This window comes from Homo sapiens, chromosome 11 (assembly GCF_000001405.40).
Source record: "Homo sapiens chromosome 11, GRCh38.p14 Primary Assembly".
Classification (NCBI taxonomy): Eukaryota; Metazoa; Chordata; class Mammalia; order Primates; family Hominidae; genus Homo; species Homo sapiens.
Window position 1 is genome coordinate 120,158,028 of NC_000011.10, and position 16,952 is coordinate 120,174,979.

Genomic DNA, 16,952 nt, shown 5'->3' on the forward strand with positions numbered 1-16,952 from the left:
CTATAATTGTGAACATATCTATTTCTCTTTTCAGATCAGTTTTTGCTTCATATAGTTTCAAGCTCTGTTATTAAATGCATAAACATTTCAGATTTTTGTCCTATTGATTATTTTACCTCTTTTTCATTAGGAAATATTTCTTTGTTCTTTGTAGTATTCAAAGTCTACTTTGAACATTATTTATATAGTCTCCTCAATATCTTTTCATTAGTGTTTGCATGGCATTTTTTTCTATCATTTTAATTTTAATCTATTTATACGTTTATTACAGTGAATTTCCTATAAATAACATTGTAGTTGAATCTTTTTTTAATCCAATATGACAATCTCTGCCATTTAATTGAAGTGTTTAGACCATTTACAATTAAAGTAATTATCACTATTGCTGGGTAAAAACCTATCTTCTTGCTATTTGTTATTAGCTCAGTTTGTTCTGTGCTCCTTTTGTCCCTCTTTTCTGCCCTCTCTGGATGTAAGTAAGGACTTTTTATGATTCCTTTTTATCTCCATTTGTGGTATATCAGCTGTTTCTCTTTATTTTATTTTTAGTGGTTGCTCTACACTTTACAATATACACCTTTAGCTTACCACATCTACCTTCAAATAATCTTTACCATTTCACATATTTTAAAACAGGTGTCAGTAAACTTTTTTCATAAAGTGTCAGACATTAAATATCTTAAACTTTGTGGGTCATACAGTCTCTGTTGCAACTACTTAACTCCACCATTGAAGCAAAAGCAGCCACAGCTTATCCATAAATGAATGATCTGTATTCCAATAAAATGTTATTTACAAACACTAAAATTTGAATTTCATATAATTTTCATGTCACAAAATATTATTTATCTTTTGGTTTTTTCTCAACCATTTAAAAATGTAAAAACCATTCTTAGGTCATGAGCTATAGAAAAACAGGTGGATGGCTGGATTTAACTTATGGGCCATAATTGACCAATCCCTGGTATAAAAGCTTTGTAACAATATACAGGCCAATTTATATTTCCCTCTCATCCTTTGTGATATTGTTGTCATAGAATTTTACTTCTACACCTGTTACAAAGCCAAAATACTATGCTGTTATTGTTGCTTCAAATATTCAATTAAATTTTTTAAACTTTTGAGTAAGGAAAAAATTTTTATATTTACCCTTGTATCTTTCAATTATTTTCAGTGTCCTTCACTCCTTTGGGTAGAGTCAGATTCTCATATGGTATTATTTTTCTTCTCTCTGAGACCTTCCTCTAAGTTTTTTTTTTGTAGTGCAGTTCTACTGGCAGTGAATTTTCTCAGTTTCTGTTTGTCTGAAAGCCCTTTATTTTATCTTCATTTATGAAAGGTATTTGACTTGCTATAGAATTCTAGGACACAGGGGTTGTTTTTCGTTTGTTATCCTTCATGCAGTACTTTAAAGATGTCACACCTTTATCTTCTGGCTGTCTTTTTTTCTGCTGGATTTTTGAACAAATTTATTTATTTACTTATTTTTTTTATATTCTTGCTCTGTCGCCCAAGCCGGGGTGCAGTGGCATCTTTTTTTTTAATGAGAACTCTATTGCCATTCTTATCTTTGTGCTCTGTACATGATGTCTTTTTTTCCTCTGCCTGCTTTTGATATTTTTTTATCATTGATTTTCAGATATTTGATTATAATATACCTTGATGTCATTTTCTTCATTTTTATTCTACTTGGGTTCATTGAACTTTTTAGATCTGTGGGTTTATACTTTTTATTGGATTTGGGAACATTTGACTAATAAATTTTTGAAATAATTTTTTTCTATTTCTCCCGTCTCCCATCGTCCCCTTATAACTCCAATTACATTGCTCCACAGGTCATTGAAGTTCATTTTTTAACTCAGTATTTTTCCCTATGTGCTTTATTTTGTATAATTTATATTGCTCAATCTTCAAGTTCATTAATCCTTTTTTTCTTGCAGTGTCTGATTTTCCACTAATCCCATCCACTGTATTTTTTGTTTCAGATAGTTGCATTTCTAGAAGTTCCATTTCTAGAAGTTCCATTTGAGTCTTTTTAGTACTCATTTCTCTCTCATTAAGTTCATGCATTCCTCTACCTTCTCTAACCTATGGATCATATTTATAATAACTTTTTTAACATTCTTGTTTGCTAATTTTATTATATCTGTTTTTGATTGGTTGGTTTATCTCCTGAATATGGGTCATATTCCCTCATTATTTCTGTGTTAGAAATTTTAATTAAATGTTGGGCATTCTCAATTTTATATCACTGGGTGCTGGACTTTTTTGTGTTTTTTGAAGTAGTATTGGACTTTATTCTGGTGCATAAGTTAAGTTGGATCCTTGCAAACCTTATGATTAAGCTTTGTAATTAAAGTGGGCCCACTGCAGCCTTTAGACTAGAATTAATTTAACCCAGTACTAAGCCAATACCCTTCTGAACATTCTATCTAATGTCCCATGTATTATACGATCTCTCAACTTTGGCTGGTAGGAACACAAATTCTAAGTTCCATATAAGCTCCAGAAACTGTTCTGCCCACTCTTTTATTATTATTATTATGTCAATAGCTTTAGGGTTATGAGTAGTTTTTGGTTAAATGGACATTAGTGACTCAGAAGGCAGGAAGGTGGAAGGGGGGTGAGGGATGAAAAACTACCTGTTTGGGTACAATATATGCTATTTGGGTGACAGGTATACTAAAAGCCCAGACTTCACCACTATACAATTCTGCCCATCCTTTGGTGATTCTTCAGCTTTGGGTCATTTACTCTCACAGAGTATAAATCCAAGTAGCCTGTCAAAGACTCAAGGGACACCTATGAAGATCTCAGACCTCTGTCTGTTTCTGTGAACTTTCTCCTCTTTGTTACTCTGCCCTGCAAGTTCAAGCACCTTGGCCTCCCCGAACTGCAACTTTCTTCTCAATTCAGTGAGACTACCAGGTGTATTTTGCTTCTCTCCCCCTGCTCTGTGACCTGGAAACTGCCTCCAGGCAATAAGCCATTGTAGGGCTCTCTTCATTTGTTCCCCTTCTCTTAAGGATCACAGCCCTGCACTGCCTATTATTTAATGTCTGTAAAACATTTTTTTCACATATTTTGTCCAGTTTTCTAGTTGTTGAAAGTGGCAAGGTAAATCTAGTCGCTGTTACTCTATCATGCTGAAAGCAGAAATGCTTCTTGATGAGCAAAAATTTTTTTTATTTTAATGAAGTCTAATATGTTATTTTTTCTTTAATGATTATTGATTTCTGGGTTCCATTCAAGACATCTTTGCCAACCTTTGAGTCTTAAAAATATTATTTTATGCTTACTTTTAAAAAAGGTATATTTTAAGCTGCTATATTTAGATCTATGATCCAATTCTAATTAATTTTTTGATATATGGCATAAGGTTCAGGGGTCAAGTTTCATTTTCTTCAGAATAAAGATGTCCAATTGTTTAAGCACCATTTGTTGAAAGATTTTCTTTCCTCTATAGAATTGCTTTAGCACCTCTGTCCAAAATCAATTAACTATGTTAGTGCAAGCGTATTTCTAGAATTTCTATTGTGTTTCACTGATCCACTTGTCTATATATGCCAATACAACACTGTCTTGATTGCTGTAGTTTTCTAAGTCTTAAAGTAATCTAGCATAAATCCTTCAGCTTTGTTTTGCTTCTTTTTCAGGATAACTTGGGTCTTTTGTACTTCTATATATTTTCAAAATAAGCCTGTAAAATGCTATCAGTAAAGCCTTCTAGGATTATTATTGGAATTACATTAACTCTTTAGATTAATTTGGCAAAAATTACCTCTTCTCACTCATAAATACGGCTTATCCCTCCATTTATTTAGGTCTTCTCTAATTTCACTTAGCAATGTCTTGTAATTTACAGTACACAGTTCTTGCATACTTTTTGTTAAAGAATTTTTAACTATTTTGTTATTTATAATAGTATTGTAATTGGAATTTTTCCTTTTCCAATTATTTTTCCAATTGCTAATATGCAGAAATGCAATGCATTTGTATGTATTGACCTTGTATCCTCCAACCTTACTAAATTCACTTATTTGTCTTAATAAGGTTTTTAGCCACGTAAACTATCATGTCATTTGTGAATACATACTGTTTTACTTCATTTTCAGTATTTATGTCTTTATTTGTCTTGCCTTATTGCAGTGGCCATGATCTCCAGTACATTGTTTAATGGAAGTGGTGAAAGTAGACATCCTGGTCTTTTTCCTCATCTATGGGGAAAGTATTCAGTTTTTCACCAGCAAGTATGATTTTAGCTGTAGGTTTTTCATAGATGCCCTTTGTCAGATTAAGAAAGTCACTTTTCTAGTTTTCTGAGAGTTTTTATCATGAATGATTGGAGTTTTGTCAAATGATTTTTGGGCATTTATTGAGATATAATATGAATTTTCTCCTTTATTCTGTAAAAGAGATTAATTATAATAACTGATTTACAAATATAAAATGGATAAACCTCATTTAGTCAGATATATAACCCTTTCATATATTGTTGGATTCAGTTTGAAATTAAATAATACAGCTTCAGATAACTCAAGAATTTTAAAAAAGGGGAAATTTTAAAATATTTTGAACTAAATAATGAAAATACAACATACCAAAATTTTATTTAATTTCTAAATATCTTATTAATTTTAAATTTAATTCCATCTTTGTTAGAAAACACTTTATAATATTTCAATCTTTTGAAATTTATTGAGACTTGTTATTTTACCCAGCATATGATCCATCTTGGTGAATATTCCATGGACACTTGTAGGTAAAATGTGTATTCAGCAGTTATTATGTGTAGTATTCTATAAATGTCAATTTAGTCAAGGAAGTCAATAGTGTCATTCAAATATTCTGTATTCTAACTGAATTTTTGTCTAATTATGCTATCAGTGTCTGAGTTGCAGATAAAATCTGCAACTATAATTGTAAATTTTTCTATTGATTTTGTTCTATCAGTTTTTGCTTCATTTTGAAGCCCTGTTATTAGATTTAGTGCAGATTATAATAATTATAACTAATTATTATTAGATTTTAGTACATATTTCTAAGTATTATGCTTCCTTAATATATTTATCCTTTTATCATTATGAAATATCCCTTTAATTTCCGGTAATACACTTTGTCTTGAAGTTCAGTCTGTCTGATATTAATTTAGTAACTCTAGCTTTTTGATGAGTTCTATTTGAATCGTGTATCATCAGTCAGTGTTCTACCAGAGAAACAGAACCTACTGGATATCTATATTTCTATAGATATACAGGGGTGTGTGTGTGTGTGTGTGTGTGTGTGTGTGTGTGTGTGTGTGTTCAGAGAGACAGAATTTCAAGGAATTGGCTGATGTGACTGAAGGGGCTAGCAAATCTGAAATCTGTAGAGTAGGGTGGGCTGGCAGGCTGGAAACTCTCTAGCAGGAGCTGAGGCTATAGTCAGTCCACAGGCAGAATTTCTTTCCCTGGGAAACCTCAATTTTGCTCTTAAGGCCTTTCAACTTACTGGATGAAGTCTACTCAGATTATTAAGGATAATATCCTTCACTTTAAGTCAACTGATTATAGATGCTAATCACATCTACAATATACCTTCGCACCAACACCTAGATGAGTGTTTAATTGAATAACTGGGTGCTATAGCCAAGCCAAGCTGACACATAAAACTGACCATCACAAATGGTATATCTTTATTCATCCTTTTACTTTCAACCTGTTTGTGTTTTTTGTATTTAATGTTCATCTCGTACAGTCAGCATATACCTAGGTCCTGCTTCTTTGTCCATTTTGATAGTCTACTCCTTTTAATTAAAGTGTTTAATTCATCATTTTATCAATAATTTGTCAAATCACATTTGATGTAATATAAATAAATTTGAGTTTAGTTCTGTCATTTCCTATTTGTTTTCTATTTATTTCACATGTTCTCTCATTCATTTGTTCTTCCTTTCCTGACTTATTTGAAATTATTCAGCTGGGCACGGTGGCTCACACCTGTAATCCCAGCACTTTGGGAGGCCAAGGTGGGTGGATCACAAGGTCAGGATTTCAAGACCAGCCTGGCCAAAATGGTGAAACCCCGTCTCTACTAAAAATACAAAAAGATTAGCTGTGCGTGGTGGTGTGCGCTTGTAATCCCAGCTACTCGGGAGGCTGTGGCAGAGAATTGCTTGAACCCACGAGGCAGAGGTTGCAGTGAGCCGAGATCATGCCACTGCACTCCAGCCTGGGCAACAGAGTGAGACTCCTTCTCTAAGAAAAAAAAAAAAAGAAAGAAAAAATAAATTAATCAAATATTTCTAACTATTTTATTTGATTCCTCTATTACCTTTCTTATCTATTTTTCTTTGCATTTTAGGGGTTGTCCCAGGTATCATAACATGCATCTTAACTTACCACAATGTACTTACAGTTAATATTGTACTTTACATAAAATGTAGGAATCGCAGGAATAATTCCACTTAAATTTACCTCCATACTTTGCTCTGCTTTTGTCATATATATTAATTTACATAGGTTATAAACCCCTCACGACAGTGTTATAATTTTTTCTTTAAACAGCCATATGTCTTTTAAAGATTTAAGATAAGAAAATATGATATGTGTGTCGTCTTTTATATTTACCCACATATTTATCATGTCTGATGGACTTTATTTTTCTGGCAAATCTGAGCTACCATCTGGTGCCATTTCCCTTCAGCCTGAAAAACTTCCTTTAACATTTTTTGTAGTGTAGTTGTGCTTCTAATGAATTCTCTTCATTTTTATCTTAAAATGTATTTACTTTGTCTTCATGTTTAAAAACATTTTGCTGAATATAGAATTCTGGCTTGGCAGGGTTTTGTTTTGCTTTTTTCTTTCAGCATTTTAAAGATGCTGCTCCATTGTGTTGAGAAGCTGGTCATGATCGGTAACATCGTTCTCCTCTGGATACTTTCAATGTATTATCTTTATCTTTGGATGTCAGCAGCTTGAACATCAGGTGCCTAGGTATGGTATTCTATGTACTTACCTTGCCTGGGGTTCACTGAGCTTCTTGAATTGCTAATTAATGTCCTTCCACCTAATTTATGAAGTTTAGGTCATTATTTATTTAAACATTTGTCTTACTCATTCTCTTTCTCCTCCTTTCCTTTTTTAACTCCAGTGGCATTCATCTTAGACTGCTTGATGTCCCACAGACCTCTGAAGTGCTCTTCATTTTTCTTTAAAATTTTTTGTTTGTCCTTAGGATAGGATAATTTTTAATGGTCTAGCTACAAGTTCACTAACTCTTTTTCCTGCTACCTCCAATCTGATGTTAAACCCATCTAGTAAATTTTTTATTTTATTGCTTGATCATTTTTGGTTCTAGAATTTCCATTTGTTTCTTTTATTATAGGATGTATTTTTCTGCTGATATTCACCATCTGTTCATTCATAATCCATATATTTTTCTTTATATTCTCAAATATTTATAAGAGCTGCTCTAAAATCTTTGCTAATTGCAATAGCTGGATCACCTCAGGGTTGAGGTCAATCGAATGTTTTTTAGTTGAGTATGGGCCGTGTTTTGTTTCTTTGCCTGCCTGTGAATTCTGATTAGATACTGGACATTGTGAATGATATGTACTAGAGACTCTGGATTCTGTCATATACCTTTGAAGAGTAATTTTTTTCTTTTTTTAACTTTTATTTTAGGTGTGGGGGTACATGTGAAGGTTTGTTACATAGGTAAACACGTGTCATCAGTGTTTGCTGTACATATTATTTCATAACCCAGGTATTAAGCCCAGTACCCAATAGTTATCTTTTCTGATCCTCTTCCTCCTCCTACCTTCCCTCTCAAGAAGACCCCAGTGTCTGTTCTTTCCTTCTTTGTGTTAATAAATTCTCATCATTTAGTTCCCACTTAGAAGTGAGAACATGCAGTATTTGGTTTCCTGTTCCTGCATTAGTTTGCTAAGGATAATAGCCTTCAGCTCCATCCATGTTCCCATAAAAGACATGATCTTGTTCTTTTTTATGGCTGCATAGTATTCCATGGTGTATATGTACCACATTTTCTTTGTCCAATCTGTCATTGATGGGCATTTAGGTTGATTCCATGTCTGTGCTATTGTGAATAGTGCTGCAATTAACATTCGTGTGCATGTGTCTTTATGGTAGAATGATTTATATTCCCCCAGGTATATACTCAGTAATGGAATTGCTGGGTCAAATGATAGTTCTGCTTTTAGCTAGAAGAGTAATTTCAACTGCAGCAGTTAGTTAACTTGGCTAGACTCAAACTCCAAACTCTGCCTCTCCTGTGGTGAGTAACATTTGAAACCTTTGCTCAGTTCCTTCAGCTTCTAGCTGCTGCTTTTTTGCCAGGCTGCCTGGGGTCTCCCTCATGCTTGACAGTTTAGCTTAATAGCTTAGCAATCAACCAAGGATTTGAGCAGATTTTACATTAGATTTTAGGGTTCACGCCCTCTGCGGTTCCCTCGCTTTCAGCATTCCCAATTTTCTGATTGCTCTGCCTGATACCTCAAACTAGTAAGTCTGCAGCTTCTGCCACTGAACCCACCCATGTGGTATGCCCTCAGAAAAAGGCTGCAAACTCCTAAGTCTCATTCTTTGCAGTTCATTTTTTCATGGGCGGACATCCCTTCAGTTTCTGCCTGCATTTAATCATTCTCCAATGTCTTCGATTAATGGGTTTTTAAAAATATTTTGTCTAGATTTTATCATTGTTATCTGCTGCTGGTGGCTGCTTGGGGAGGAGAGAGGGAAGGAGGAAGGGTTAGTAAAACAAAGCTATTCTTCCATTACTGGAAGCTAGAACTTTATTGTCCCTTTTACACAGTAGGAAACTGAGGCCCAGAGAATCAATGTGACTGGCCCAAAGTCTTTTGGCTAATAATCAACTTTAATATCCAAGTCTTGCTATCGTTGATTGATGGGGGCAGGTGATCCTCTGATTTTTTTCTATCTTGAAATGCCTCCATCTACCTCTCTCTTCTCACCCCTCAGACAGATTTACCCTGGATCTTGTGTGAAGTGTGAACACCTTACTAACTGTCCATTCACAAACTGCACTTGCCTTTTTCTTCAGTTGTAAGTACAACTGATGGGGCATGATGGTGGCTATTGGCCATACAGATGCTGGGTAAGACCCGTGGTAGGGATAGTGATGCTACCAGTAGCACCCTGGCCATAGCAGGGAGTTGATTATCAATTGTACTGGGAAGGCAGAGAGGGGTACTGTAAAAGGATCTTGGGCCATGAGTGTTGAGTTTGGTCCTGAATCTGCTGCATAATCATTATGAGACCTAATACAATTCTAATTATCACTCTAAACGTCAGTTTCTTATGTGTGTAGTTGAATGATAATTCACAGTAGTATGGTGTTGTTCTGAAGATCAAACAGAGGAGCATATATGGTTTGTAAACTAAAGTTAAAAATATGAGTCCTCCTAGTTGTTATCAGTGCCTGGTGAGGATGGCGGATGGTGAACCTGGCCACACAGGCACAGCGGTTATTGCCAGCAACCGGGGCAGAGGGAAGCCTCCGGGGTAATTCTCCGAGAGTTAAACTGGGTAGTGAAACCCACACAGGAAGGGTATAGAGGTGGCCCAAGAGACTATCCGTAAATTTGAAGCTGAAAAGATTTGGAAACGTCCAAGTTTAGTCACAGCGACGAGGGTGTATACAGACAGGCAGGACTGGTCTGTGGTCATAACTGGAAATAAGAAGCCCAAGCGTTTGAGCCCTGTTTGGTCATCAAAAAGTAATGGCTGGCAGGAAGCCAGAAAAAGAGACGGACTATTTCCATGCGATCCCGCAGTTCCTGGGGGAGCCCCACCGCATATCTGGTGAACAGGGACACTTCAGGCACCAGCGAGGCATGTTCTGTTGGAGGACAGGGAACTTCAGGGGGCCTCCCTGAGAACTTCCGGTGACACTTTACGAGGATGGATGAACCATCATTTGTTCTGAATCCAAGCCCACTGAGGAGCCAGGAGACCTAGTCAGCATCCCAGAGAAGCACCATATTTGGCAGACCCGCATATTGGACACTCTCTCCATTCATCACAGTCACAGCTAACATGCGCGGCACAGGCACCGTTCTAGCACGTGTGTGTGTGTCTGCCAAATATTTGTGAGTGTGTCTCACAACAGCTCTGTGAGAACCTTACATACTACATTGACGTTATACTTTCTTTTCAGTCTCCTGGAAGTTTGTTTATCATTAATCAGTTCCTCGAAGACAGACTGCCTCTGACTCTACAGACAGAAGCAAGCTTCGGGGTCTGAAAGCAATGAACGGACTACAGATTGTGGCGACCCCAGCCACCACATACACACTCTCGGGGGCTGCTCCCTTTTGAGGGCCTGACGTGGGGTCCAGGCAGGCACCCAACTGGACGTCTCTACATTGGCTGTGGACATAGTGGTGCTAGTGATGGTCACAGCTTACCCATGATGTGGCACATCTGGTGGGAGCCTCAGGCCGGGAACACCCTGGGGTGGGGAAGGGATCTCTGCGAAGGGAGGGGGTCTGCAGTCCAACAAGTGATGGCCTGGGGCGGCTTCAGGGAGTAGGGAGGGGCTGGACCGACGCCCGAATCCCACATATATGTGTAACGCATTGGAGTCTGCACTTGCGTGACCCTGTCACCGTCACCTCCTGGACTTCTCAGGAATCTCCTGGTTGCTCTCTGTAGGGCAACTCCAGCTCACTCCAAGTCACCCTCCACCCAGCAGCCAGAGGGATCTTTCCGAACATAAATTCCCTCTCGCCACCACCTCCCTCCTTCACACCCTGCCCAAGTCCCTTCAGTAGAGAGACCCAGGCCTGGAGACTGTACAAAGCCCTGCAAAGTCTGGTCCCGCCGCCGCACCCTCGGAGCCCAGCGCGGAGAGGGCGCTTAGTGCGTGAGCTACCGTCGTTCCCCGCGACTCAGCCGAGCGGCATCCGCACACCCTGCTAGCCTAGGAAGCGCATCGAGGGAGCCCGCTCAAGCTGAAGCGCTGCACGAGCTGTGTCTTCCTTCTCTCCGCCGCGAATGCGGGCAGGATGCGAGCAAAAGACCCGGCAAAGAGGGCGCCGAGGGGGCGCAGCCGGGGCGCTGGGCGGACCCAGAGGGGACATGGAGAGGAACGCGGAAGGTACGCGGTAGAGACGGGGAGGTGGCGCGAGGCGGGACATGGTGAGCGACCCGAGGGGCGCGCGGACTGGGCTCGCGGACGGGGCTCGCGGACGTAGAGCAGTCGAGGCGCGGAGGGGGAGCGCGCCCCCGTGTGGCCAGGCGGGGAGGCGCCACGGCCGGGGCCGTGGGGGCGGTGGGAAGCGCTCCGCGTCCGGGCTCTCAGCGTTCCCTGGCCTGCCCCGGCTCGCTAGGCTTTGATGGCTGCTTCCGCTCCCCATAAAGGCCTGTTTCATGGCCGACGCCGGCATGGGCTTTACGTCTGCCCTCGGGCTCCCTGCGGGCTGCAGAGGGCAGCGGTGAAATCCCCTGTCCGGCCAGGCTGTTCTTGCTCTAAAGGGAGGCCCAGGAGTGTGTGCGGGCGGCGTGCTCCGTGCTGGGCTCTGTGCCGAGCCCTATTCATTGCATATCCCAGTTTCTGTCTCTGGGTGCGTTTCCCTGGCCCTGGCCACTTCCCCTCTTTGAGCGTGGGCACTGTGTTTATTAGTTCATTTCCCATCCCCACACCAAGCACTGCCTGGCACAGAGCAGGCGCTCGGCAAAGGCTTGCGGGATGCGCAGACCAGCTCATTTAATGCTTGCAGGTGCCCTCTGCGGTGGGCATTACTATTTCCACCATCCTCATGATGGATCTGGAATCCACGGGGGTCCCCTGCCCAGGATCGTGCAGCCTGTGGAAGGCAGCAGGCGCCGGGATGCCGAATGGATTGAATGAGCTTCTCGGGGATTCCCTGAGCTTGGTGAACGCAGAGCCCACCCTGACGGTCAGGCCTAACCCCACCGCCAATAACAGAGCAGCCCTAGGTGGAAGTGGGCTGCCTGTGCCTGGCACTGGGAGCGGCAGAGGCGGCTGCCGCTGTGGAAGTAGCGCCCGCAGTGCCAAGCTCCTGTGCCTGGGAGGACGCGGGCACTGGGCGACCTGCAGTCGGGGCTGCCCCCAGGCAGGGCTCCCTGGCTTTCTCACAGCGCGGCTCGCGGGAAACGACGCTGCCCTATGGCACAGTGAAGTAAGGCGATGGCTGCTCTCAGCCAGAGGCGGGGCTGGGGGAGGGGGCCAGAGATGCCCCGGGAGCCCCTGGACCCTCTGGAGGGTCGGGTGGGGGAGGGGAGATCTCTGTCTTGACCACGCACTTGTAACCCATTCTTGGCACACCGGGATACCTTGCCTGCAGGTAGTGCTCTGCTCTCGGGGAGAGGGCACAACCTCTAATCCTCTGACCGAGGCTCTCTGCCTCTCACAAGAAGCCCCCAACACACTGGTTTTCCTCACAGCCTGCCCCAACTGCTCATCGGAACCTGCAGCCCCCTTCCCTGCCCCAACTGTCCCTCTGCGGACCCCATTACCCTACTTTCTGTCGAGCCCAACTGCCCTATCCTTTATACAGGCTGTCGGGGGCAATGGTGGTGAGCATGGGCTATGGAGTCAGATTGCCTGGGTTCAAATCCTGGCTCTGCCATCTTCTGACTGTGTGACCTTGGGCCAGTTTCTTTATTTCTGTGCCTCAGTTTTCTCGTCTGTAAAATTGACGGGATGGTGGCATCTGTCTCACAGAGTGGCTGTGAGGGTAGCGGGCACACTGCCACAGGCACGATGAACGTCAGCTCTTGTTGCCAACCTCCCCCCACAACACACACAGCTTAGTAACTCTACCCTCACCCAACACATAACACCTAGCTTGTCCCTCATAATGAGCTCTCAGCCTAAATCAGTGCCCTCAGCAAACCTGTGGTGCAGGGCACGTGTTAGGGTAGACAAGATCCTGGGGAAGACTCACTGACTCCACCGAGGCAGCACTGGCTGCAGCTGGGATTGGCCCAGACATTTAAGAGCCGAGGACTAAGCAATGCCTGCATTGCCTGCTATGTGCATATGTCCAGCAGGACGGCAGTGTCAGGCCACTGGCCAGTGGGGACCAGCCTCTGAGCTGGTCATCCGAACACCCTAGGAAAGAGTCCACCCCGTCCTTCATGTTCTATCACTGCTTGGCCTAGCTAAGCCAAGCACCTGGGCCCAAGCCCCACCGTGGAGATGGCGGCTGGAGCAGTGTCCGAGGTCACAGATGGAGGAATGTGACCTCCAGCCCAATCTCGACTCTGCTCTTTGCCAGTTCAGTCTTGCCCAAGTCACTTGGGTTCTCCAAGCCTATGATCTCCTCTTTAAAATGGAAGGGAGAGCTGGGCATGGCGGTTCATGCCTGTAATCCCAGTACTTTGGGAGGCTGAGACGGGAGGATCACATGAGGCCAGGAATTCAAGACCAGCCTGAGTAACATGATGAGACCCCCATCTCTACAAAAAAACAAAAAACACTTTGGTTTTTGTTTGTTTGTTTGTTTTTGTTTTTGTTTTTAATTAGCAGGGCATGATGGTGTGTTTCTGTAGTCCCAGCTACTCGGGAGGCTGAGGCGGGAGGATCAGTTGAGCCCAGGAGTTCAAGACCAGCCTGGACAACACAGCAGACCCCGTCTTTATAAAATAAATTCAGTAAAATGGAAGGGAGAGAGTCCATCTCTATTCCAGGTGCTTGGTCCTGGGGGAAGGTAGGGGAAGGGACAGAGAAGGAAGCAGGAGAGGCAGCACCAACACCTCTTCCCACCTGTGGGAGATTCTGCTCTCTCATTGACTGGAGCTGGGCTTGCCAGAAAGTCAGATGTGGCCAGTCATCTCTCTCTTGCCCCACCTGAGGTGAGCTCTAACTGTACCTTCTCCATCTCAGAAATAAACGTGGCCTTTGAGTGGGGACACTCAACAGTCAACTTCCCTGCTTCCCATGAGGCAGAGTTGCAGAAACCTAGATTCAATCCCTGCTGCACCAGTCCCTTACTAACTATGTGACACTGGACAAGATGTAGCCTCTCCAGCAGTGGCCAACTTTGTTTCGCTCTTATTACATACCAGGCCCTTGGGCAAGCACTTGCCCCCATCCGTGCAACAACCCCACGAAGTAGCCCATCTCACAGGCAAGAAAACTGAGGTTCCAAGAGGTTATGTAAGTTGCCACCATCACACAGCTGGCAAGTGGGAGAGCTAGAAGGTGGATGGTGGCAGAGTCTGGGCATTGGCACGTCACCCTCCCAGAGCACCGGGATGGGGAAAGGAGGTCTCTGGAAAGTATCTATCCAGCACAGGTGGAAACTCAACGCTGATTCTGGGTTTTTTGTCGCATCCCCTTTCGGAGGGAACCAAACTGTGATTCCTTGATCTCACCACAGGGTGTCTCCACGCCACTACTCAACCAGCCACCCGATGCCTGGGCTACCTTTGGCGCAGCCCTTCCTCCTGTGGGACTGGCTGCAGCCCTCCTGCTCCTGTGTGGCCTGTTTGCGCCTGTCTTGTCTTCAGCGGGGACAGGCTCTGATTCCTCTGGGAAGCATGAGGGCTGTCACTGACCTGCACCCCCTGCCTTGTGGGGTTCAGCGGAGTGGCGTGGAACAGAAGTGCTGCTTTCCACGTGGCCTCTTCTCTGCCTCCCCCAAGTTCCCCCACACTGTCCTGTGTCAAGAGTCACAGCCAGAGCCTCAGTCTCCAGAAGTCACGGCAACAGAGCTGTGGGGAGATCCCACGCCCTCCCATGGGGGACCTTGACCTGCCTGGAGAGAGGGGCTCGTGCCACCTGCGTGGGGCCCCTCCCCAGTCTGGCTTGGTAACTGCGGACCTCTGTATTACTTCCTCTTCTCCGCAGCCCATGCTGCCGTGAATGTCCCCGTGTGACAGTTGTTAGAAGGGGAGTAATTACCTCCTTTTGGAAGTTTCAATGAGACCATGTAGGTAAAAAACATCTTGCAAGCTCTTCATTGAAATGTTGCTTGCCAAAAATAGGGAAACGGGGGCTAGGTCAAATGACTGTCCCAAAGCCACTCAGTAAGTCAGCGGTGGCCATAGGATCCTGATCCCAATCTAGCGATTCTCCCAAGAAATCACACTTGACTTTGGGGTGGCCTCCTCTGTGTGAACCTAGTCCAGGGCGTTGAAAGGGCACAGAACAGAGATCCTCGGGAGGAGGAGGAATCTGGGGATGAAGGAGTTAAGGGGGCCTGGAGCCGGGATGGCTGAAGGCTATAAAGAGACCAGTATGAGAGGAAGAGGCCAGCGAGGGGCCTGGCTTTGATTAGGCCCCCAAGGCCATCTGGAGAACCAGACGCTGGAGATGGGTTGGTTTTATGGGGGCAGATGGCATAAATTATAGGGGCGTTAATGGGGTAGAGGGGTTCCCCCCACAGTGCTTCTGAAAGGGGTTGCATGGGGGGTCCTCGTCCCTAGCAGCCTGGGCCAATCCCATCTGCTCCAGCCTCTGCTGTGTCTCCCTGCCTGCAGTACAATACCCTCCACAGAAACTGCCCCCAGAGGCATCTGAGAGCATGCTCCAGCACTCAAAGGAAACAGAGACCCTCTGCTGCCTAGACAGGAGCCACATCAGGACGGTGGTACTGCCTGGAGCCATCATATGATGGGCAACCCAACATCTGGCTCAACGAATCCTCAACAGCCAGCCAATTGAGAATGGTCATGTCCCATTTGTCTCCAAGCCAACTGCAGGACTTGAACAGTCATCAGATCACACCCTCAATGGTGAGGGGCTTGGTGACCATCCTATCCAAACACTTCAACAGAAGCCTAGGGCTACACAGCTAACTGACCTCAGGGCTGGACTTGAAACTTAGACTCCTCACACTTGAGCCAGTACATTTTCATGACCACTCGCCATCATCACACAGCCTCTCTGGATCTCAGTCTTTTCATCTAACAATCGCTGTTTGGCCTCCCTCCCAGCTGAAGTGGAATGAAACGTCGGCTGCAAAAGGCTTTGAAAAGTTAAAACCACAACACAAGTGATTGCAGCATTTTGTGAGCAGAAGTTGGGGAGCCCGTGGAGTTTCCCAGGAATGGGCTAGTGGTTCTGCTCTGTGGAGGAGTCCAACTGACACCTCTGGCCCTCACAGGCCCTCTTCATTTTGGCTCTGCTCAGGGACTCAGGTAGTGCTCAGCCTGAGCCCACATCATTAGGAGGGTGGGTCATTCTGAAAACAAAAACCTCTCTTTGTGCTTCCCAAAGCCCATCAAAAATGATTTTCAGTCACCCCACTGGGGGAGTTATCCCCATCATTGTATCCCATTCTTGCAAAGGATAGGAAGTAGAATGTGGGGAGCAGGGATGGAGAGTTGACAACCAATTCTTCCACCACTTCATATGCAATCTTAGCTAGTCAGAAAACAACCTAAACAACGTCTAGCAAACTCGAGGTACATATCTCAAATGCAGCAATTTCTCTTCTAGAAATCTACCCCTCAGTTATATTAGCACAGATGTCTTTGTACAAGACTGTTCATTGCAGCTTTGTTTGTAATAACAAAGACTGAAAGCAACCTAAATATCTATCATTAGGGGATGGAGCAAATAAATTGTGGTACCCATACTATATAACACCAGGCAAAGAATGAAGTAGATTTATAAGCATATACAAATGCAGTCGATTTATGTAAGGATCTGCAGGATATATTGTTAAAAACAAGTCATATATGGAACAGTGGAGATACTATGTTCCTGTTTATGCCCAAGAAAAGAAGGTACATGTAAAGCATAAGAAATTTCTGAATGATACACAAATTCTGTTCATAGTAGTTGCCTCCAGGTTGAGAGACAGGTGGCTTCCGGTAAAGAGGGACTTACTTTTCATTATATTCCTATTTTAGCATATGTATTTGTTCCACTTTTTCAGTTAAATGGAGAGAGGTAGTTAAAAAAAAAAAAGAAGTTGGTCTAGAAAAATAACTGCTTGGACGTAACCACATTTC

At 43.3% G+C, this 16,952-nt stretch overlaps 1 long non-coding RNA gene across 1 annotated transcript, besides 3 other annotated features; it reads left to right on the plus strand.

Annotated features, from left to right (window-relative positions):
- Positions 5,348-5,517: an enhancer, noted in NCBI's record as "experimental_19417 CRE fragment used in MPRA reporter constructs". NCBI's record gives its function as "activates a minimal promoter by MPRAs in K562 erythroleukemia cells, with activity observed for both the introgressed and non-introgressed 11:120034168 variant alleles {active_cell/tissue: K562}" and the evidence as "EXISTENCE:reporter gene assay evidence [ECO:0000049][PMID:34662402]".
- Positions 10,950-13,654, plus strand: LOC107984399 (uncharacterized). Its single transcript, NR_159965.1, has 2 exons — positions 10,950-11,121; positions 11,744-13,654. It is a non-coding gene; the product is annotated as an uncharacterized LOC107984399 (long non-coding RNA).
- Positions 11,158-11,327: a silencer, noted in NCBI's record as "silent region_3985". NCBI's record gives its function as "represses an Ori minimal core promoter by ATAC-STARR-seq in GM12878 lymphoblastoid cells {active_cell/tissue: GM12878}" and the evidence as "EXISTENCE:reporter gene assay evidence [ECO:0000049][PMID:35858748]".
- Positions 11,328-11,487: an enhancer, noted in NCBI's record as "active region_5636". NCBI's record gives its function as "activates an Ori minimal core promoter by ATAC-STARR-seq in GM12878 lymphoblastoid cells {active_cell/tissue: GM12878}" and the evidence as "EXISTENCE:reporter gene assay evidence [ECO:0000049][PMID:35858748]".
- Positions 13,655-16,952: the final 3,298 nt, after the last annotated feature.